Source organism: Homo sapiens, chromosome 15, assembly GCF_000001405.40.
Source record: "Homo sapiens chromosome 15, GRCh38.p14 Primary Assembly".
Classification (NCBI taxonomy): domain Eukaryota; kingdom Metazoa; phylum Chordata; class Mammalia; order Primates; family Hominidae; genus Homo; species Homo sapiens.
Genome location: NC_000015.10, coordinates 52,024,029 through 52,048,523, shown reverse-complemented (window position 1 = coordinate 52,048,523; position 24,495 = coordinate 52,024,029). Strand labels below are relative to the sequence as shown.

The 24,495-nt window shown below is 42.7% G+C and overlaps 1 protein-coding gene across 13 annotated transcripts in view, besides 2 other annotated features; it reads right to left on the bottom strand.

Annotated features, from left to right (window-relative positions):
- MAPK6 (mitogen-activated protein kinase 6) overlaps positions 1 to 24,495 on the bottom strand; it is a 95,551-nt gene that overhangs the window by 18,852 nt on the left and 52,204 nt on the right. For 7 of the 13 annotated variants that reach the window (XM_047432852.1, XM_047432853.1, XM_005254537.4 and 4 more), the window contains one exon: positions 1,509 to 2,694. In XM_047432852.1, coding sequence (XP_047288808.1) covers positions 1,509 to 2,063 — 555 coding nt within the window. In that variant the 5' untranslated portion in view covers positions 2,064 to 2,694. Of the gene's footprint in view, positions 1 to 1,508; positions 2,695 to 2,859; positions 4,747 to 5,690; positions 5,771 to 20,650; positions 20,886 to 24,495 lie in introns of those variants that run through there. The other 6 variants (XM_011521782.2, XM_047432849.1, XM_047432847.1 and 3 more) reach the window with 5 other exon arrangements.
- Positions 19,499 to 19,698: an enhancer, noted in NCBI's record as "active region_9416". NCBI's record gives its function as "activates an Ori minimal core promoter by ATAC-STARR-seq in GM12878 lymphoblastoid cells {active_cell/tissue: GM12878}" and the evidence as "EXISTENCE:reporter gene assay evidence [ECO:0000049][PMID:35858748]".
- Positions 23,020 to 23,600: an enhancer, noted in NCBI's record as "H3K4me1 hESC enhancer chr15:52317121-52317701 (GRCh37/hg19 assembly coordinates)". NCBI's record gives its function as "activates a minimal SCP1, AML or CMV promoter by ChIP-STARR-seq in primed H9 embryonic stem cells {active_cell/tissue: H9 hESC(primed)}" and the evidence as "EXISTENCE:reporter gene assay evidence [ECO:0000049][PMID:30033119]".

Here is a 24,495-nt window from a genome sequence, read left to right as displayed (position 1 = left end):
TGCTTCAGCCTCCCGAGTAGCTGGAATTACAGACATGCACCACCAGGCACAGCTAATTTTGTATTTTTAGGAGAGACAGGGTTTCACCATGTTGTCAGGCTGGTCTCAAACTCCTGACCTCAGGTGATCCGCCTGCCTCAGCCTCCCAAAGTGCTGAGATTACAGGTGTGAGCCACTGTACCTGGCCCAAGTAAAAATACCTTAATGTGGGCTGGGCGTGGTGGCGGGCGCCTGTAATCCCAGCTACTTGGGAGGCTGAGGCAGGAGAACTGCTTGAACCCAGGAGGCGGAGGTTGCAATGAGCTGAGATCACACTATTGCACTCCAGCCTTGGTGACAAGAGCACAACTCAGTCTCAAAAAAATAAATAAATAAAAATAAAAATAATCTTAACGTGAAACAACATGTATGAAGATTTGTCTTAGGCATGTACTGTGGAAAGCTAACAAAGCAGGGCTCCCAGGGGTTCTTTACAACCAAAGCAGCTCCACCTCTCTAATTTAAACATCAGGGTCCCACATAAGATTTCATTTCCAAACTAAAAGACCAAGGTTCAGCTTGAAAAATATTAAATTCTTGTATGAAGGCAATTTGCTATCTAAGACGAAGTTGCTGTGAGATCTTTTTGGCTATACTTATTACCAATTGTTTATGTGAATTTAGATTTCAAGCTAAATTTAGTTTAAACAAAGCAGAACTGAATAGTACAGGCTCAAAGAGACAAAAGAAGACATAAGCTTGGGTGTGCTGGCATGCACCTTTAGCCTCAGCTATTCAGGAGGCTGAGGCCAGAGGATCACTTGAGCCCAGAAGTTTGACACCAGCCTGAGCAACACAGCAAGATCTTGTCACTAAAAACTTAAAAAAAAAAAAAAAAAGGCTGGGCATGGGGGCTCACACCTGTAATCCTAGCATTTTGGGAGGCTGACGCAGGCAGATCACTGGAGGCTAGGAGTTCAAGACCAGCCTGGCCAACACGGTGAAACCCTGTCTACTAAAAATACAAAAAAATTAGCTGGGCATGATGGCACGCACCTGTAATCCCAGCTACTTGGGAGGCTGAGGTACAAGAATCGCTTGAATCCAGGGGATGAAGGTTGCAGTGAGCCGAGATGGCGCCACAGCACTCTACCCTTTGTGACAGAGTGAGACTCTGTCTCAAAAACAAAAGACCTAAAGTTGAAATAGCATCCCCTCTTACCACAATTCTGTCCCAAAGAAAGAAGAGTATATTCCACTTTTAAATAACTAAGGGAGAATTTCATTTATAATAAATAACCATACACTTTAAAATTTCATTATAATAACCATGTATTTTTAGAAATTTGTATTTAATTATCCCACTCCACCTTCATTTCAAACAGAGAGACTTGTTTCAGAAAAAAGGCACTATGTAAAGTTTAATAAGATTAAAAATTCTGCCACAATATACAAAGAAAATATAAGTACCTATTCCTGATTAGGTGTATCAGTTTAAAGATCTGTCTCAGCTGGCTTTCTATACATACCTTATGGGAATAATGAGGATCCATGATCCGTGCAAGACCAAAGTCACCTATCTTCAGCACCAAGTCTTCCGTATTAATGAAAAGATTAGCTGGTTTGAGATCTCTGTGCAGTACATTTGCAGAGTGAATATACTTGAGCCCCCGTAGCAGCTGATACATGAAAAGCCTGGCATGCTCTTCCAGTAAAGGGCCCTGCTCCAGCACATTAGCCAAGTCTGTCTCCATGTACTCCTGAACAATGTAAACACTGTTCAGTTCCGTAAGAGAGCCCACATCGTCTGTTAATTGGCTTCCACTGGGACCAAGAATCTCAAACACTTTCACAATGTTATCATGGTCAAGTCTTCTAATAATTTTGATTTCACGTAGAGCATGTTTGACACTCTGGGGATCAGTAAGGACAATTTTCTTGATGGCTACTCTTTTGTCACAGTCATTGTCTACAGCAGAAAAAACCAAGCCATTGCCTCCACAACCCAATGGTTTTAAGTCCATATACCTAGAACCCAGATCAAAACCATGAATGTTCATGAGACTTTCAAATTTCTCTGCCATTTTGAAACCCTTACTATTGCCTTTTCCTTTCAAATTGAACTTGTGTAAACAAGGAAGAAAACTGGCATCAAAAGGAAAGATCTTTCAAAAAGGGAGAAGAAAAATAATTATGCTTCCACAGCAAGATGGTTTCTTGATGTTCATTGCATATGCCAAACAGGCCTGTCGAGTTCCCCTTAGATTTAAAGCTCAAAAAGCTCTATTCATATTGAGAATTAAAAAGATTGCAGTACTCATAGTTCAAGAAAGGGGCAGCAACTCTGCAGACATTTAACGAAAACAAGAAACTCAAACGGAATGAAATGACATACTGTGCACTCAGATTACCGTGCTAAACGATTTAACATTTAACAAAAATGTGAATAAATATGCACACAACAGGCTTCTATGAACATTCTCCTCACAGTGCAGATACATTCAGTGTTGGACTGGTCCTGAGCAGCATCATTCTAAGGTGCTGGTAAGCACTATTTCCGTTTTGCTTCTTTTTTTCCTTTGTTGCTATATATTTATTTCAACAGGAAGCCCTGGCGGCTGTTGGTTAACAGAAGATGTCTTTTGTTAGTGATCAGGTGGCTCCAGCTCACCACAATCACAATCAAAGCTACCGTCCATCTTACTCTGATACAACCTGGGGGGATGAGAAAAAGAAGAGAGTCACCATTGCAGGAAATACTCTTTTCTTCAAATTTGTAGTATGACACAAAGTAGGCATTTAGCAATAAACTACTACTGGTACATTAAACTTAATTATGGTCATTAAGTGACAAATTACCCTTAATCAAAAATAGCTTACAAAAATGTTATCAGCAATTCACACACGTTGGCCCGGGCTCCAGATTTCACTACACTAGATTCTTGGTAACAGGCTCATTAGGTTGTACCATTTCTGAAATGCCAACAAGTATGGGAAGGTTCATAATATTTTTATAGAACTTGAGTTTTGTGAGGGGTAAAACGTTAGTAACATCTATCTAAATATCTAAAAGAATATAGAAGAAGCCTGCAATGTGTTAGTTTGTTAAAAAGCATGTTTACTTATTAACTATGCCTATCAATATCCAATGAACAAAAATCTAACAGCACAAATATGCAAATAATGTTCTTCAACTTATAAGAGTAAACTTGAACAATGAATAATACCTATGAAAAGGTATTTAATGTGACTGATAGGAAAAGATTACCTTAAGAGAACATTTCAGATTGAAAAAACATGCATCTCTGTTAATGTCAAGTCTGAGGAGTGTAGAAAAACAAACTTTCACACAATAGTGGTTGGAGTTTAAATTAGTAAAAACTTCAGAGCAATTTGGCATAAACATATAAATGAATAAATAAATAGCGTACTCTATGACCCGGCCATTTTTCTTCACAGTAAACTCCCTAGAGAAATGCTCATTTTTTTTTGGTAAAGAAAATTAGAAACAACCTCAACTTCATAAAATAGGAGAACAGATAAGTAGTTATATGCATGCAAAATAGTTTTTTTTGGTAAGTACATATGTATATTGCAAAACTAAAAAAAAAAAAAAAAGGAAAAAAAAATGAGACAAATACCAAATTCATAATGATTACCCGGAGATTAAGGAAAGAGACCAGAATCATTTATCTGCGTTTTAATGTGTTATTTATTTTAAAATAACAAACATGGCAGATTACTAGAATCTTATAGAGCTGGGTGGTATGTATATGAAGGTTCATTATATTGATCTCTGTACACTTAAAATATTTCATACTTTAAAAAATATCCTATAAAAGGGCAGGAAAAAATAGCCTCAACTCCAGTAGATGGTTCCCTAGCCAGCCTGGAAAAAAAAAAATGCAACTTGGTTCTTTCAGTTTCTTAATGGCCTAATTGCAGAGTACCCAGAATACCAGATATGAGGCATTATGGAAAATCAGGTGGTCAGAATTCCTAACAAATAAGACCAGACAATATTTTAGGCAGAAAGAATAAAGCCACCAATTTATTCGTTTAATATATAAACATATATTGAGCAACTACTATATGCTAGGCAGGAGCAAACCTGATATGAGCAAAAGGATTCTGGCCCTCAGTAAACGCAACTCATTGTCCAATAGGAGAAAGACAGCTTTAATAAAAACTGATACTTACTATATCCCTCAGTTCTTTTAATAAATAAGAACGGGTCTTGTATCTGCTTAATATCATGAAGGATACTAATAGTATAATAGCTTTATTTTACTGTAACAGAAACGGCTTCTCCTGTCTACAAGTTTTTCTCTGCTTCTCAGAAATCAGCCCTCCTAGCCCGCCCCCCCAAAAAAAAAGTCCTAAAAATTCTGTAGCTTACCAGTCTATCTGTAATAAAACACTTAAAAGTTGAAGTTTGTGAATAAACTTTTGAATTAAAAAAATATCTCAAGGCCGGACACGGTGGCTCACGCCTGTAATCCCAACACTTTGGGAAGCCGAGGCAGGCAGATCACGAAGTCAGGAGTTCAAGACCAGCCTGGCCAATATGGTGAAACCCCGTCTCTACTAAAAATACAAAAAGTAGCCAGGCGTGGTGGCGCATGCCTGTAGTCCCAGCTACTCAGGAGGGTAAGGCTGGATAATCGCTTGAACCAGGTAGGTAGAGGTTGCAGGGAGGTAGAGGTTGCAGTGAGCCGAGATCCTGCCATTGCACTCCAGCCTGGGGGACACAGCGAGACTCTGCCTCAAAAAAAAAAAAAAAAAAAAAAAAAAAAAAAAAATCAAACAACTTAAGTCCAACATATCATTTGCTATTATCTAGCTGAGCCATTAGTCTGTCTTTGGTCTTTAGCCAGTGGATTTTCAATGTTGTTATATGATCTAGCTCATGTGATAGTGGAAATAAGTAATAAAAATAAATTTTTGTGGCCAGGCGCGGTGGCTCACGCCTGTAATCCCAGCACTTTGGGAGGCCAAGGCAGGTGGATCTCCTCAGGTCGTGAGTTCGAGATCAGCCTACCAACATGGAGAAACCCCGTCTCTACTAAAAATACAAAAATCAGCCCAGCGTGGTGATAGGTGCCTGTAATCCCAGCTACTCGGGAGGCTGAGGCAAGAGAATCGCTTGGACCTGGGAGGTGGAGGTTGCAGTGAGGTGAGATCACGCCACTGCACTCCAGCCTGGGCAAAAGAGCAAGATTCCGTCTCAAAAAAAATGAATAAATAAAAAATAAAAATAATTTTTGTATTGGTAAAAAAGTTTCAGATTTTTAAAAAGGGCTTTAATACTGCATGTCTCCCTCCCACCAAGTTTTTTCTGTTTGTACACATCTTGATTCTTCCTGCTCGCTCCCCACTAAATACCCTAGGAAAACCAGTTTGTTTGTTTTTTGAGACAGGGTATTGCTCTGTCATCCAGGCCAGAGTGTAGTGGCGTGATCACCACTCACTGCAACCTCTGCATTCTGGGCTCAAGCAATCCTCCCACCTCAGCCCCTCAGCCCCCCAAGTAGCTGGGACTACAGGCAGGAGTCACCACACCTGGCTAATTTTTGTATTTTTTGAAGAGACGGGGTTTCACTATGTTTCCCAGGCTGGTCAAGAAAACCAGTATTTCTCAAAGGCTCCATTATTTCCTAAATTTTACATCTCTAGTCTCTACCTGAAATAGAATGCTTGTTCACGCTTACCTTCTTGCCTTAACGTAGACAATTCCTTAAAGCTCAGTCATGTTTTACATTTCTGATAAATGTACACTGTAAAGTCAGTTCTATAGACAAATGAAATGAGAACAGTAAGATCTCCAAGTTCTCTCTCAAACTTCTAGTTCACAGCAATCTAGTCAAGCACAAATAATGCTTTGTCAAAAATTACACCACTGTTATCTGACAGAATAGCACTATAGTAGGAGTTGTAGCCAGATTAGGAAAGCCATGAAAATGAGAGATCCTTACTCAAGACCCCCATCCACATCTGCCCCCCTTAAATTTTATTGAGACCAAGCCTCACAAACTAGAAACTTCAAGGATGCGAGTGCCTTTTCAGAATTCTCAGTGACTGGTCAGCACTTAACGAGGTAAGAGTGGGTAAAAAGTGATACTAGGGAAGGTAGGAGCTTTGCCTACACTGAGAACTGCAGAGTCATCACTATGTGCTCAGATGATGAAGACTATACATTGTAACAAGAGAAGGTAGTATTTATAAAACAAACTGTAATTCCACTAGACAATGAGGATTATACCAGTTAAACATCTGGGGGAGAAAAAGATTTACAATGGCAGTGCTTGTTCAGTGATTCTGCGTCACTGCTCTGTGAGTAGTAGTCTTCAAGATCCTTCACTATCCATTAGACCAAATGCTGCTAGAGTGCCTTTTCAGCCAGGATCTTGGAAAGCAGACCCACCTTAATTAGTAAGCTGCGAGTAATGCTGTACCTCTATATCATACAGTGGATCCAATAAGTGTTTCCAATTCAGTCACGTTCCATTATTTGGTATTTGATAAGTATTTGTGTCAGTCAATCTCTTGGCAATGGGGATAAAATGGTGAGTAAAGAGAGACTTGGGCTCTGCCCTCATGGAGTTTATCATGTGACTAGAGACAAACAATTTTTTTAAAAAGAAAAGTAAACAAAGAAATGAAGAAAGGACAAGTGGTACCAAGGAATGCTACAAGATACTACTGAGAATCTGCACACTGGGGGTCTGACCTAATTAAGAAAGTCAAGATGTGTGTGCCTGGTAGCCATAAAAAAGGCAGAGGCCTCTCATGCTCTCCTAGTGACCTTAGAAAGAAAACTGTTCCCTCCTTATCACCTTAACTCTTAGGGCAGGTATATTCCAAATTCTGATCTCTCTAACTACCTCCAACTTTCACATCAATCACGGAGCTCCTTGGCCTGACTAAAGCATATATAAAACTCAGTTGGACCAGCAGATGGTCACTGCATCCTCTATCCACATCAGTGTACTATTAATTGCCATTATCTCCACCATCTTTCATGCTTAATTTCATAAAGGCAAAGTTAAGGCCGGGCGCGGTGGCTCACGCCTGTAATCCCAGCATTTTGGGAGGCTGAGGCGGGCAGATCACCTGAGGTCCAGAGTTCGAGACCAGCCTGATCAACGTGGAGAAACCCCATCTCTACTAAAAATACAAAATTAGCTGGGCGTGGTGGCGCATGTCTGTAATCCCAGCTACTCCAGAGGCTGAGGCAGGAGAATGGCTTGAACCCAGGAGGTGGAGGTCGCTGTGAGCCGAGATCGCGCCATTGCACTCTAGCCTGAGCAACAAGAGCAAAATTCCATCTCAAAACAAAAAAACAAAAAAACAAAAAAACAAAGTTTAAAGCTTAGACCCAGGAAAAAACTGGGGCTCCATATTCTTTTTACACGTTCTACACACTTCAACAAGGCAGTAAAAAGGAAGGTAACATAAAGGGACCCTTTCCAGCATCTTTCCAATTTCTCTGCTTCCAAATAAATGTTACCCATTCCTACCAACCATTGCTGATTCTGGGTTGTTTGGGGAGTGATCATTAAGTTTAATTAGCTGGTTCGATATTGTTTTGTTTTTAAAAATTTGGTGAATAAAATGAAGTAAAGAGAATAATTTATAAGAATAAAAGTTGGCTTTTTGCTTTTTCTTTGGCTTTCTTTCAGTGATCTACCATGTCATGGAATTAAAAGCTCTTTATAATGCAGGCTGGATACCAGCTTCCTAAGTTTATAAGGCAGTTCCCTGAAACTGCATTAGCCACAACTGTCTGCTCAAGCACTGCTCTCTTTGCTACATTACCTCCTGCTCCCTGTCAGCTGGTCTACCCCCACACCAAGAGTAATGCTGGTACTGGGAGTCAAGCCTAAGTGTATAAAGTAATGAAATGCAAACAAAAGAAGTAACTTTACTTTGTCCTATCTCGCCAGAATTTTCTTTTTTTCTTATCAAGGAGCAACTTGGCCTACTTATGTCAAAAAGGAAGTCTAGATGTGCAAAGAAAGTTTGAAGTAAGGGCCATAAACATAAAGGTTACTTTTTCTGGTTTTCTCCTCAACCTTCTGCTCTGCTGCTTCTCAGGATAAATGCTGACATGGGTCATCTGGCCTGTTCACATTCACTGACAGCACAGCACTTCCCCCATCCCCTCTCCACAAAGGCTCTTATTTTGCTCTTCTCCATAGTCAAGTGAGTAATTTGAGTTAACAGGAACCTAGCCAGCCTCACATCTCCTCAGCCAAAACCCAGTTGCTTTTGGACAGAAGGGAAAGGTTGAGCTTTTCTTATATTCACCTAGGGCTATCTCCTAACCCTGGCACAGATAAATGTAGCTGTAGCAAATTCACCCTTCCCTGAGATCATGTCTCAAGCTCTCATCAAAGCTACTAAGATTTTCGGGCAGAGAAGGCCAAGTGCTACAGCTTAGCTGCTTGCTCACTGCATTTTTGACAAAGCCCTTGCTCCTAATGTATGGTGGGCGGCCATAAGAGTTATCAGGGGCCCTTTCAGGATTTGGACATCAAGGAGGCTGGGAGTATAAACTATTAACAACAAATAATCTTAGGAACCTGGGAAAAGACATGGGACCTTAAATCTAAAATGCCAAAGTCTGAAAGGCTTTGGGTAGTATCAGTAACTATGCTTATCTACAGAGACAAACTTTCAAAGTCAGAGAAGACAGTAACAAAGTATCCAATTTAAAGACAAAACAGGCTGGGCGTGGTGGCTCACACTTGTAATCCTAGCACTTTGGGAGTCCAAGGTGGGCAGAACACCTGAGGCCAGGAGTTGGAGACCAGCCTGGCCAACATGGTAAAACCCCTGTCTCTACTAACAATACAAAAACTAGCCAGGTGTCGTGGCTCACACCTGTAATCCCAGCTACTCAGGAGGCTGAGGTTGGAGAATCGCTTGAACCTGGGAGGCGGACGCTGCAGTGAGCTGAGATCACACCACTGCACTCCAGCTTGGGCAACAGAGTGAGACCCTGTCTTCAAAAAAAAAAAAAAAAAAAAAAAGACAAAACACTCACCTACTACTACCAATTTGTGTTCTTAAATTGTTTAAGCCCTTGCCTACATGCATTTTAACATTAGGGGCTTTCATTTGCCTTTGGCCATTTAAAAAGCCATTGTAAAGCACATGCCATTATGTTTATTTTGTTGCTTATCTCTAGTTGTTATTTTCCAGTATGGATGACTTACAGTAAATCTGTAACCAGATTACAACTAGTAAGTCTAGTTACAGCCAGGCGTGGTGGCTCATGCACTTTGGGAGGCCAAGGCGGGTGGATCACCTGCGACCAGCCTGACCAACATGGTCAAACTCCATCTCTACTAAAAATACAAAAATTAGCTTGGCATGGTGGTGCACTGCTGTAATCAGCTACTCAGGAGCTGAGGCAGGAGAATCGCTTGAACCTGGGAGGTGGAGGTTGCAGTGAGCCAAGATCGTGCCACTGCACTTCAGCCTGAGGGACAGAGGGAGACTCCATCTCCTAGTTACAGATTTACTGTAACCCATTCATATTAGAAATTCAAAAATTCATAGACCAGATAAACTAGTAATAACATCCCTATAGACTCTTCCAATTCTAAGTCTATGATTTACAAGTCTTATATTTCTTTAGTTTTATTCCCAAGCCCTGTGGTGGTATGCTCAGAATGGGAGAGATGTTATTCAAATTGCTGTATACTAAACAAATATAATCCCTTCTACAAACTTACGGCTGGAAATTTTTAAATAATTATAATAACGCTTGATCCCATTTCTTATCTTCCTCCCGGCAGGAGGCTTTATTCTAAGATTCCTAACCTAACTAACATTAAAGAAATATTGGAGCAAATATAGGACAGGAGACATGTGCACAGCCTCTTTCTTCAAGCACCTTTGGACACCTGAGGATTCTAACTAGATGAAAATATAAATTTTCAAAGCAGTCAGGATAATAGATGGCCCCCAAAAATCTAAGTCTTGCTCATGCCACAAGTTCAACGTAGCTGTCAGCCAAGCTGCTAAAGTACCCACCATCTCTACCAATTACATGCAATGTAGCAGAGAAAAGTAAGACTATCTCACTGGCAAAAAAGCTTCCATCCAAAAGTGACACCATTCACTTCTCACATTTTACTGACTAAAGTAGGTCACATGGTCATACGTATACCCAAGGGAGTGGGTAAATGCAATCCCAACATGGGCCCAGAAGCAGAATGAACCAAGATGTTTTTAAAACATCTTTTAAACAGACTAAACAGATTCAACCCTCCCATCCATCCATTACGTTTCATTCAACATTTTACTGAATGCTTACCATGTGCCAGGCATTGTTTTAGGCATTAAGCTATAGCAGAGGTCAATTTTTTTTTTTTTTTCAATCTTGAGCTCAAAGGAACACATTATTACTCCTGGAGCACAGGGGCATGTAGTGGATTCCTCCCTATCTAACATTTCACTTTTCTTTCTCCTCTTTCTAATAACATTTTCACTCCCTTTTCTTTTGCCATCCTCCCCCAACCTAATCTAATGTGATTCTTCAGAACCTCTACTCTTCATTTTCCAGGGCACCATTCCCCTCCTTTTTTCTGTGGCTTTGTCTATGATAAAAGGTTTGGGACTAAGTAGCTTTGGGGACATTTCCTAAGCATAGTACCTGGTAATTAGTAGGTACCCTAAAATATGTACTGAATGAATCAATGTAAATAGCATATTCTACGTGAGTAGAAAGCTTTGGAGAAGGGAAGTCCTATCCTCGAATTTTTCAGAATCTGATCACATTCTGATCTACCACTAGAAAACATCAGTGAAGATTCCCAGATATGGTATTTTCCTTTCCAGGCATTCCACCAGGACCCTCACTCTATGCGAATGCACAGGTCTGCCAACAACATGAAGAAGGCAGCTGGTTTCAACCCACTCAGAATGAAGAAATGAAACACTTCAGCTTTGTTACAGCTCTCATCTTATCTTGTTGAGGTGATGGGGAGGGACTGTGCCACTGAAATAGCATCCTATATAATCAGTCAAGCAGGACTCTAAAAAGTCCTATCAGCCCATGTAATACCAAAGAAGGTATAATGAAGATATGCAAGACCTTGACACTATTCTTCAGTCCATCCTAGCAGGGTTTAGCACCACAGCTTTTCAGACTACAGATCAAACGTGACTGCTGTTGTTTTTGAGCTAACTCTGGTGAGGGTCTGAAGAAGGTCACATTATGCAAGGCCATATAAAACATCTCTGGACTCTCAAATGGAGAGAACCATATGCTTACTTGGAGATTCTCTTTAAGAGACAGGGTCTCACTCTGTTGCCTCAAACAATTCTCCCACTAAGCCTCCTGAGTAGCTGGGACTATAGGCACACACCACGTTCAACTTTTTTTTCTTTTTCTTTTTGTAGAAATGGGGTCTCACTATGTTACCCAGGCTGGTCTTGAACTCCCGGCCTCAAGTGATCCTCCCACCTAAGTCTTCCAAAGTGCTGGAATTACAGATCAGCCCCGCATCTGGCCAATTCCCTAATTTTTAAAAACAATTCAGAATGGCATGTTATTTTTTTGGAATATCCTTCCTCTTTATTTCTCATTTTCTCCAAACTGAAGAAGGCTTACAAGATTTGGCTGCCCTGCCTATGGAGTAGCCATTCTTTTATTCCTTTACTTTCTTAATAAACCTGCTTTCACAAAAAAAGGGGAGGGGAGGGGAGAGGAGGGGAGGGAAAGAAAGGAAAGAAAAAGGAAGGAAGGAAAGAAAGGAAGAAAAAAAGAAAGCTTGCGAGATTTAAAAACAAAATTTTAAGTTGGTTTGCTATCAGATCCATACAAGAATTTGGCCCTACTGAAAGAGTCCAGTCTTTCACTAGGCCCGTGCCATGCTTTGAATGTGTCCCCCAAAGTTCATGGGTTGGAAGCTTAATCCTCAATGCAAGTGTTAGGAGGTGGGGCCTAATAAGTGGTGATTATTAATCACTAGTAAGAAGCAGATGGGTTAATGTCATTATTGTGGGAGTGGGCCTATTATAAAAGCAAATTTGGCCCTCTCTTTCTCTTATACCATGGGCTGATGCAGAAAGGAGACCCTCACCAGATGCCGGCACCATGGTATCAGACTGCCAAGCCTCCAGAACTGTAAGAAATAAATTTCTCTTCTTTATAAATTACCCAGTCTCAGGTGTTGTTTTAGCAACATGAAACCAAGAGGGACAGCTTATATTAAAGGAAATAAACCATAAGTTTAAAGATCTGGGGTCTACTCCAGGATCTGTGGCTACATCAGCTGTGTAGTCAAAGAATTTCACATTTTTATGTCTCAGTTCCTCATCAGGAAAACAAAGTGGCTAAGCTACAGGATTTCTTCTTTTTTAAGAGACAAGGTCTTGCCCTGTCACCCAGGCAGAGCCAGGTAGTAGTTAGGAGTACAGGCGCACACCACCCCACCTGGCTTAAACTACTTGATTTCTATGGTCTCTTCCAGCTCTCAAATTTTGTAATTCTAACAAAAGGCTCAGGATTTCCACTTCTGACTAGAATGCTCAAAGTTGCAAGATACCAAGCCTCACTCTATAAACTGCAACAAGCTGGATAAGCTACAAAAATCATAGTTTAAGGAAAAAAAAAATCAGAGAGCTAAGCATGTAAAGAAATCTAAATAATAAATAAGCTAAATCAGAGAAAAAGTCAAACCCTTTAGAAGGGAAGAGACCATGGCTATTCTCATTCCTGGCAAAGTGGCAGAACCAGGAATCCACTGACAGGATTAAGGAGAAACCAGCCAAATAACGAACTTAATTTTAATGGTTGCATGTGGACTCAGATAAAATATTAGAGAATCTGGAGGAGGCCCAACTATAAGCCCCAACTGCCAACTCTTCCCTATGGATTTTTTCTTTTCTTTTTTTTTTTTTTTTAAGATGGTGTCTCGCTCTGTCACCCAGGCTGGAGTGCAGTGGTGTGACCTCGGCTCTCTGCAACCTCCGCTTCCCGGGTTCAAGCGATTCTTCTGCCTCAGCCTCCAAAGTAGCTGGGACTACAGGCGTGTACCGCCACACCTGGCTAATTTTTGTATTTTTAGTTTCACCATATTGGCCAGGCTGGTCTCAAACTCCTGACCTCACGAGATCCACCCGCCTCGGCCTCCCAAAGCGGTGGGATTACAGGCGTGAGCCACTGCCCGGCCCCCTATGGGTTTTGAATGTGTCCAAGTCTGAGGGCAAGGCAGAAAAGCAGAGAGAATCCCATGAAGAAAAGAGCCTCTACCATGTTCAAGGCAGCGGCCCTCTCTGTAGAAGGGGATCAAGACAGGAAGCATGGAATAAACACCTCTGAGACATTCTGAGTCTTCAAAGAATGTAAGACAGATATTCCTCCTAAGGCCGAGTCAAAGAATTAGGGCAAAATCAAGAGATAAGGAAAATCTTGGATGAGACTAGAAAGCAAAGAGAATTTCCCAGCAGTCCAAAGAACCAGAATCTAGACTAAAAAGCAGAGCTCAAAGGTTCAGTAAAGCAGGAGCATATGAAGAGATAACAAGGCCAGGCGCAGTGGCTCATGCCTGCAATTCCAGCACTTTGGGAGGCTGAGGCCAGCAAGCAGATCACTTGAGTCTGGGAGTTCAAGACCAGCCTGACCAACATGGTGAAACCGCGTTTCTACTAAAAACACAAACATTAGCCGGGCGTGGTGGTGCACACCTGTACTCCCAGGTACTTGGGAGGCTGAAGCAGGAGAATCACTTGAACCCGGGAGGAGGAGGTTGTAGTGAGCTGAGATCACACCACTGCACTCCAGCCTGGGCAACAGAGGAAGATTCCATCTCAATAAACAAACAGACAAACAAACAAAAATACCTACGCACAGAGTGAAATTGTTGAAAACAAAAAGAAAAGTGAAGAAAAGTGAAGGAAGGAAGAGAAAGAACAACTCTTCGCCAGGGCACAGTGGCTCATGCCTGTAATCCTAGCACTTTGGGGGGCCGAGGCAGGCAGCCTGAGCTCAAGAGTTTGAGACCAGCCTGGGCAACATGGTGAAACCCCGTCTCTACAAAAAACACAAAAATGAGCCAGGCATGGTGGCATGCGCCTGTCCCAGCTACTTGGGGGGTTGAGGTGGGAGGACTGCTTGAACCCGGGAGGCAGAGGTTGCCATGAGCCGAGATCAGCCATCGTGCTCCAGTATGGGTAACAGAGCGAGACTGTCTCAAAAAAAAAACGAACGACAAAAAAGAATGATTCTTAAAAGCAACCAGGAGTCCGGGCATGGTGGCTCACGCCTATAATCCCAGCACTTTGGGAGGCTGAGGCGGGCGGATCACCTGAGGTGAGGAGTTTGAAACCAGCCTGGCGAACATGGTGAAACTCTGTCTCTACCAAAAATACAAAATTAGTTGGGCGTGGTGGTGCATGCCTTTAATCCCAGCTACTCAGGAGGCTGAGGCGGGAGAATCGCTTGAACCCGGGAGGCAGAGGTTGCAGTGAGCCGAGATCACACCACTGTACTCTAGCCTGGGCAACAAGAGCAAAACTCAATATCCAAAAAAAAAGCAACCAGGAAAAAAAGAAACAAAAAACAAAAAAGCAACCAGGGAAAAGAGATAAAGTATATACTGGAGAAGAATAATAAGAATGATAGCTGATTTATCACTAGAAACAATGAAAAACAGAAGACAATAGAATATGTTTTAAGTACCAAAAGAAAAAAAAAACTATCAACCCAAAAAGAAAATAAGGAAAAAATAAAATAAAAAACAAAGCCTATTAACCCAGATGTATTAGTCACACTTCTCCACAGGGACAGAAATAATAAGTTTTATGTATATATGAAAGGGAGCTTATTAGGGAGAACTGGCTCACACAATAACAAGGCGAAGAAGTCCCACGTCAAGCCGTCTGCAAGCTGGGGAAGAAATAAGCCAGTAGTGGCTCAATCTGAGTCCAAAAGTCTCAAAAGCAGGGAGGCTAACAGTGCAGCCTTCAATCTGTGGCTGAAGGCTGGAGAACCCCCGACAGACCACTGGTCTAAGTCAAGAGTCCAAAGCCCAAACAATCTGGAGTCTGATGTTCAAGGGCAGGAGGAACAGAAGGAAGCATCCAGGACGGATGAAAAATGAAAGCCAAAAGACTTAGCAAGCCAGCTTATCCCATCTTCTTCCACCTGCTTTGTTCTAGCCTCGGTGGCAGCCAATTGGATGGTGCCCACCCACACTGATGAGGGTGGGTTTTCCTCTCCCAGTCCACTGACTCAAAGGTCAGTCTCCTCTGGCAACACCCTGACAGACACACCCAAAAACAATACTTTACCAGCTACCTAGGCATCCTTCAATCCAATCAAGTTGACACTTAATACTAACCATCACACCAGAATTCTGTATCTAAGAGAAATAACCTTCAAAAGACCTTTTCAAAGAAAAGACAAAAGTAGAAAGATGCCAGGTGCCGTGGCTTATGCCTGTAATCCCAGTTACTTCTCAGGAAGTGAGGTGGGATAATCACTTGAGTTCAAGACCAGCCTGACCAACATAGTGAGACCCTGTCTCCATTAAAAAAAAGGAGGCCGGGCGCGGTGGCTCACGCCTGTAACCCCAGCACTTTGGGAGGCTGAAGCGGGCAGATCACCTGAAGTCAGGAGTTTGAGACCAGCCTGACCAACATGGAGAAACCCCTATCTCTACTAAAAATACAGAATTAGCTGGGTGTGGTGGCGCATGCCTGTAATCCCAGCTGCTAGGGAGGTTGAGGCAGGAGAATCACTTGAACTTGGGAGGCGGAGGTTGCAGTGAGCCGAGATTGTGCCACTGCACTCCAGCCTGGGCAACAAGAGCGAAAGTCCGTGTCAAAAACAAAAAAAGAAAAAAAGTATTTAAAAAAACTGGATAGAAATCTGTCTCCAGCAGACTTTCACTTCAAGAAATGCTAAAAGAAGTCTTTTAGGATGAAAGAAAAATACACCAAATGTAACTAACCCCAGATCTACAGAGAGGAATAAAAAACTCAGAAAGGGTAAATATCTCGAAAATATAAAAAGTCTATTAAAAATATCTATCCACGGCCAGGCACAGTGGCTCACGCCTGTAATCCCAGCACTTTGGGAGGCCAAGGCAGATGGATCACCTGAGGCTGGGAGTTCAAGACCAGCCTGGCCAAAATGGAGAAACCCCATCTCTATGAAAAATACAAAATTAGCTGAGCATGGTGGCACATGACTGTAATCCCAGCTATTCGGGAGGCTGAGGCAGGAGAATCGCTTAAACCAGGGAGTCGGAGGTTGCAGTGAGCCGAGATTGCACCACTGCACTCCAGCCTGGCAACAGAGCAAGACTCTGTCTCAAAAAAAAAAAAAAAAAAAAAAATTAAAAATTGTTGGGCTGGGCACGGTGGCTCACGCCTGTAATCCCAGCACTTTGGGAGGCCGAGGCAGGCGGATCATGAGGTCAGGAGATCGAGACCATCCTGGCTAACATGGTGAAACCCTATCTCTACTAAAAATACAAAAAAAATTAGCCAGACGTGGTGGTGGGCGCTGCAGAAGAATGGCATGAACCCGGGAGGCAGGGCTTGCAGTGAGCCGAGATCGTGTCACTGTACTCCAACCTGGGCAACAGAGCGAGACTCCGCCTCAAAAAAAAAAAATTATTTGTTCATATTATAAAGAAAGTCACAGCACTGAACATGAAAATAAAATGGTGAAATTTTTATTTTATTTATCTTGAGACAGGATCTCGCTTGCCCAAGCTGAAGTGCAGTGGCATGAACATGACTCATTGCAACCTCCACCTCCATTGCTCAAGGTGGGTGGACCATCTCAGCCTTCTGAGTAGCTATGACCACCGTGCAAGGTGCCACACCCGGCTCAATTTTTTATTATCTTGGTAGAGACAAGGTTTCCCAATGTTGCCTATGCTAGTCTTGAACTCCTGGGCTCCAGCGATCCTCCCACCTTGGCCACCCAAAGTGCTGGGATTACAGGTGTGAGCCACCACGCCTGGTCAACATTTTACAAGAATATAAGCAAGGTTTTATTGAGACTGTATTATGTGTGAAGCATTGTGTTGGACATATACCCTTACACTAAATCCTCCCAATAGGCAAAATAGGCAAAATATAATCTTTATTTTAGAGAACTTAAAAAACACATTCAAGATCACACATGAATGAGAGAGCCAGGATTTGAACCAGGTTTGTAAACCAAATTCCATTATCTCTCACTGTAACTTATTTTTTTATTGACAAGTATAGTACATATCTCCCTTCACTCCCCAACCTTTTGAGTAGAGTATATTTCCTATAGACAAAGACCTTCTTCTGGCTGGGGGCAGTGGCTCACACCTGTAGTCCCGGCACATTGGGAGGACAAGGTGGGCGGATCACTTCAAGTGAGGAGTTTGAGACCAGCCTGGCCAACAGGGGGAAACCCTGTCTCTCTACTAAAAATACAAAAATTAAGGCCAGGCATGGTGGCTCACACCTGTAATCCCAGCACTTTGGGAGGCCAAGGCGGGTGGATCCTTTGAGGTCAAGAGTTTAAGACCAAACTGACCAACATGGTGAAACCCTGTCTCTACTAAAAATACAAAAAAATGAGCCAGGCATGGTGGCACATGCCTGTAATCCCAGCCACTCAGGAGGCTGAGGCACGAGAATTGCTTGAACCCAGGAGGCAGAGACTGCAGTCAGCCGAGATCACGCCACTGCATTCCAGCCTGGGTAACAGACTGAGAGCCTGTCTCAAAAAAAAAAAAAAAATTAGCTGGGCATGGTGGCACACGCCTGTAGTCCCAGCTACTCGGGAGGCTGAGGCAGGAGAATCCCTTGAACCTGGGAAGCGCAGGTTGCACTGAGCCAAGATTGCACCGCTGTACTCCTTCATCCTGGGCAACAGAGTGAGACTCTGCCTCAAAAAAAAAAAAAAAAAAAAAAAAAAAAAAGCCTTCTTCTGCATAACTAAAACACAACCATCAAAATCAAGAAATTAACGCTGGTATAGTACTACCATCTGATAATCAGGCCCCATTTAAGTTTCTGCAATTATCTCAATCATGTACTTGGGAGGTAAAGGACCCAGTCCAGAATCACGTTACACTGGGTACAATGCAATTATTATGCAGTTTTTCCCTTCTGAGATTTAAAGGAATCAAACATTTTATACAGTCCACAAAAATTTACTGAGCACTTAGCATGTGCCAGGCACTGTTTGACAATATAGTAGAGAATAAGACAGACAAGGTTCTTCTGCTTCCGAAGAGCTCGCATTCTAGTAAGGAAAGACCAACAAACATGTTAGCTAATTAACAAATTCAGATTTGGCCTAGTAGCTGGGAAATGGCCCTCTGAGGAGCTGAAACCTGAATAAGAAGCTACCAGCACTGCTAAGAGATGGGAGAAGGGCATTCCTAACAGAGGAAACAACAAATTGAACAAACCTAAGGCAGGATAAAACTTGGCATTTTGGAGCAAAAGAAATGCCAGTGTAGCCACAGCATCCACAGCAAAGGGCAAAGGAAAGGAGGTAGCAATGAGGAAGGAAGGAACACATGAGGCAGGATTCTGAATCTCATAACTAAGACCAAAGAAAAACTATGAAACCATTTTAAGCAGGCAATCTACATTATTTCATTTACATTTCTGAAAGAAGATTCTTGTTACTGGGAGAAGAATGTCTGAAGAAGGTAGCTGAGTAAAAGCAAAGACCAGTTAAGAGCTATTTCAGTAAGCCAGGTGACATAATGGTGGCTGAGACTAAGGTGGCAGAAATAAAGATGTAAAACAGATAATTGAATAAACAGATTTAAGTGATATTTTGGAGACCAAAAGAACTTGATGATGGATTAGCTATGGGGATAAGGGAAAAACAGGATTCAAGGATAAATCCTAGGTGCCAGTTACAGAAGAGAGAAAGACTGGAAGAATATTATGGAAGAGAGTTCTATTTTGGACATGTTAGGTATATTTAGACAACTGCCTACTAGGTTACTAAGTGGTAATGTCTAGCAAGGCAGTTGGATAATATGTCTGGAGCTCAGGCAAGAAGTCTAAACCAGAAACATAAATATGAGAATTATTCACATACAGATGGCATTTAAAACAATGAGTTGAATGAGACCATCTAGGGAAGAATTTAGAAAAAGAGGGTGAAAAAAAAACCCAGGAGTTTTATCCTGTCTTAGGTATGCCAATACTTAGAGGCAGGTAAAGGAGAGAAGCCTGTTTAATAATTAAAAAAAAACAAAGCTAGGTGCAGTGGCTTATGCCTGTAATAAGGAGGCTGAGGTCAGGAGTTCCGAGACCAGCCTGACCAACATGGTGAAACCCCATCTCTACTAAAAATACAAAAATTAGCCAGGCGTGGTGGTGTGCGCCTGTAATCCCAGCTACTGGGGAGGCTGAGGCAGGATAATCACTTGAACCCAGTAGATGGAGGTTGCAGTGAGCCAATATTGCGCCACTGCACTCCAACCTGGACGACAGCGAGACTCCGTCTCAGAAACAAAAAAAAGCATACAGTATAACAAGGTGTAAAGTAGAAGGAAAACAAGAACATATGTCTCATAAAATGAGAAGTAGATGAATAGGCCGAAAACAGTGGTCAACTATATTGAATGCTCCTACAAGAGCCTGTAAGACTAATTTAGTAAATAGAAACCACTGGCAACCTTGACTAGAGTAGTTTTAGTGGTAAGAATGGAGGCCAATCTGTAGTAGGCTGAGAAGCAAAGGGAAGTGGAGAGAGCACAAAAAGACAACTTTTGAAAACTGGCTTGGAAGAGAATCAGAGAAATGAGGCTGTAGCTAGAGAATAATGTGGAATGGCGAGAGGGCTTATAAACAAGGAAGCCACACTTAGTGCTGTCCAATAGTGTTGTCTGCAATGATAGGGATGTTCTATATCTGCACTGTCCAATAGAGCAGCCATTAGCACCATATATGGCTACTGAACAACTGAAATATGACTAGCATCACTGAGGACCTAAATTTTTTAAATTTTTCTTTTAACAGCCACACATTTCATTGCAGAAAGCACTATTGATTAGTAGCTACCATACTGGACAGTACAGCCCTAAAGCACATCTGCATATTAATAAAGATAATCCAGAAAGGGAAAAATTCATGATGTAGGCAAGAACGAGGTAAGTCCTTAAGAAGTCAACAGGCTGGCAGGGTGCGATGGCTCACTCCTGTAATCCCAGCACTTTGGGAGGCCAAGGCAGATGAATCACTTGAGGTCAGTAGTTCAAGACCAGCCTGGTCAACACAGAGACGAATCCGTCTCTACTAAAAATACAAAAATTGCCGGGCGCGGTGGTTCACACCTGTAATCCCAGCACTTTGGGAGGCCGAGGCGGGCGGATCACAAGGTCAGGAGATCGAGACCATCCTGGCTAACACGGTGAAACCCTGTCTCTACTAAAAATACAAAAAATTAGCCGGGCGTGGTGGCAGGCGCCTGTAGTCCCAGCTACTCGGAAAGCTGAGGCAGAAGAATGGCGTGAACCTGGGAGGCAGAGCTTGCAGTGAGCTGAGATCGCACCACTGCACTCCGCCTGGGCAACAGAGCGAGACTCCGTCTCAAAAAAAAAAAAAAAAAAAAAAAATACAAAAATTAGCCGGGCGTGGTGGTGGGCACCTGCAGTCCCAACTACTCAAGAGGCTGAGGCAGAAGAATCACCTGAATCTGGGACGCAGAGGCTGCAGTGAGCCAAGATCGTGCCACTGCACTCCAACCTGGCCAACAGAGTGAGACTCCATCTCAAAAAACAGTAAATAAATAAATAAATAAATAAATAAATAAAGAGAAATCAACAGGCTGAGCAGAGTGGCTCATGCCTGTAATCCCAGCACTTTTTGAGGCCGAGTCAGGATGATTGCTTGAGCCCAGCCTGGGCAACACAGGGAGACCCCGCCTATAAAAAAAAAAAAAAAAATTAAGATTAAAAAAAAAGTCAAGAGAAGACATCCAGAGCACAAATGGCACAATCTACATGGGATACAACATGAACAAAGCAAGGCATGAAATTACAGTAACGGGTAGAGATGAAGACTCAGAATATGTATTAAGCCTGATTGGAATCTTAAGCATAAAACTCAATTACAGAGGGCTATAAAATCCAAGCAGGAGGGGGAGGGTAGGTAACTTACATCTACTAAGGACCTATTATGTGACAGGCATTTTCTTTTTTTTTTTTTTTTTTTGAGAGGGAGTCTCGCTCTGTCACCCAGCCTGGAGTACAGTGGCACGATCTCGGCTCACTGCAAGCTCCGCCTGCTGGGTTCAAGCAATTTTTCTGTCTCAGCCTCCCGAGTAGCTGGGATTACAGGCATACGCTACCATGGCCAGTTTTTTCGTATTTTTAGTAGAGATGGGGTTTCACCACGCTGGCCAGGCTGGTCTTGAACTCCTGACCTTGTGATCCGCCCGCCTCGGCCTCCCAAAGTCCTGGGATTACAGGCATTAGCCACCGCGCCCGGCTGTGACAGGCATTTTCTTTTTTCAAGACAGAGTATTGCTCTGTCGCCCAGGCTGGAGTGCAATGGTGTGATCTCGGCTCACTGCAACCTCCGCCTCCTGGGTTCAAGCGATTCTCCTGCCTGGGCCTTCAGAGTAGCTGGGAGTACAGGTATGCACCACCATACTCAGCTAATTTTTTGTATTTTAGTAAAGACGGGTTTTCATCATGTTGGCCAGGCTAGTCTAGAACTCCTGACTTTGTGATCCGCCTGCCTCGGCCTCCCAAAGTGCTGAGATTACAGGCATGAGCCATCGCGCCCAGCCATGACAGGCATTTTCTAAATGACAAATTATTTCTCTCATCTCAAACTACAGTCTTGTAAATGTCATTTTACAAACAAGAGCACTGATGCTCTTTACACACACAGTAAATGCCAAGATTTGGACATAGGCCTGTGACTATAGGGTTAGAATCTTCCCACTGCATAAGGTGGGAGGTTAAGGCCAGGCACGGTGGCTCACGCCTGTAATCCCTGCACTTTGGGAGGCCGAGACGGGTGGATCACTTGAGGTCAGGAGTTCAAGACCAGCCTGGCCAACATGGTTGAAACCCCATCTCTACTAAAAACATAAAATTAGCTGGGCGTGGTGGTGCATGCCTGTAATCCCAGCTACTTGGGAGGCTGCAGCAGGAGAATCACTTGAACCCAGGAGGCGGAGGCTGCAGTGAGCGAAGATCACACCATTGCACTCCAACCTGAACAATAAGAGCAAAACTCCGTCTCAAAACAACGACAACAACAAAACAAAAAAAGGTAGGAGGTTAAGAACCACTGTTTCGGTACCTGGAATTAACATAAACAGCAGATCAATCTGGAAGTAATCAACAAGTGCCAACAAGCCTAGAGGGACTAGGCCAGAGGCAAAAACTATCCTGCCAATGCTTTCCACAGGATAACTAAGGAAAACTTAATAGCTACTTTTTAAAAATTCAAGTGAAAATACCTGTTAAGATGGAAAGAAACTGACTTGCTTACAACTTAGATTATCTACTTTATTGAACACAGATGTATCAATTAGAAAATCAGCACTGTTTTATAATACATACTGAAATAATATCTGGGCATATTAGAAAAACTAAGTCAACATACTCTCTCTCCAATTTGTACATTAAGAAAGGACAATTATTAAACTGAGTCTAACCAGTTATTAAATTACAGCTTAGATTTTAGAGTGGGCAAAGATCATCTAGATCTGTGCTGTCCATGTAACCACCAGCTACATCCAACTATTTTTATTTTTTTTTGAGACGTAGTCTTGCTCTGTCACCCAGACTGGAGTGCAGTGGCGCTCACTGCAAGCTCCGCCTCCTGGGTTCATGCCATTCTCCTGCCTCAGCCTCCCAAGCAGCTGGGACTACAGGCGCCCGCCACCCGGCTAATTTTTTGTATTTTTAGTAGAGACAGGGTTTCACCATGTTAGCTAGGATGGTCTCGATCTCCTGACCTCGTGATCCGCCCGCCTCAGCCTCCCAAAGTGCTGGCATTACAGGCGTGAGCCACGGCGCCCAGCCCCAACTATTTAAAGGAATTAAAATTAAATAAAAAATTCAATTCCTCAAGTGCACTACTTGCTCGTCAAGTATTCAACAGTCACACATGGCCAATGGCTACCTCACTGGATAGCACAGAACACTTCTATCATCATAGAAAGTTCAACTGGGCAGTGATTAGCTTCCAAATTTTCCATTTGACTTTTTTCAGAAGGGCCAGTGGAAAGAGCAACTCAGAAGACTAACGAGCTGAGCAACCATGTATGCATCATTTTAATTTTTATTTATTTACGTATTTTTTGAGACAGGGTCTCTTGCTGTTGCCCAGGCTGGAACGCTGCGGTGCGATCACGGCTCACTGCAGCCTCAACCTCCTGGGCTCAAGCAATCCTCTCATCTCAGCCTCATAAGTAGCTGGGACTAAAGGTGTGCACCACTACAACAGGCTAATTTTATTTTATTTTGTAGAGACAGGGTCTCACTATGTTGCCCAGGTGTATGCATCGTTTAGCAGTGCTTCTCAAACTGAATGCGCACTGAATGACTTGAAAATCTTGTTAAAATGCAGGTTCTTCCCAGCACGTTAGGAGGCCAGGAGTTTGAGACGAGCATGGGCAACACAGTGAGACTCCAATTCTTAAAAAAAAAAAAAAAAAAAAAAAAGGCAGTGTATGATGGCACATGCCTGTAGTCCCAGCTACTGAGGTGAGAGGATTACTTGAGTCCAGGAGTTCCAGGTGGCAGTGCGTTATGATCACACCACTACACTCCAATCCAAACTGGGCAACAGGGCAAGATTGTGCCTCTTATTTACAAAAAAAGAAGGCCGGGCGCGGTGGCTCATACCTGTAATCCCAGCACTTTGGGAGTGCTGGGCGGGCGGGCGGATCCGAGGCGGGCGGATCACAAGGTCAGGAAATCGAGACCATCCTGGCTAACACGGTGAAACCCCGTCTCTACTAAAAACACAAAAAATTAGCCAGGCGCGGTGGCAGCAGCTGTAGTCCCAGCTACTCAGGAGGCTGAGGCAAGAGAATGGCGTGAACCCAGGAGGCGGAGCTTGCAGTGAGCCAAGATCGTGCCACTGCACTCTAGCCTGGGTGACAGAGTGAGACTCCGTCTCCAAAAAAAAAAAAAAAGAAAAAGAAAAAGTAGATTCTAAGATTCTAATTCAGTAGGACCGTAGGACTGAGATGAAGTCAAGATTCTAACGTCTATCAAGTTCCCAGGTGATGCTAATACTGTTGGTCCAGAAATCACACTTTCAGTACCAAGATCTTAGATCTCTTCAGGCCTTGGTTTCCTTAGCTGTCAAACGATGTACATGAATGAAGCAAGATAATGCCCATGACCCCTCCAAAACACTAATATTTTAAAGTTTTATGATTGTACAGAATTAAATGCATACAGATTTGCACTTTCTGCAGAGGCAGACTTTTCTGAGGTAAATGCTAGGATTCTAAAAAACAAGTTTTATGATACCATTTTTTTCTGTGAAAAAAATACCAAATTT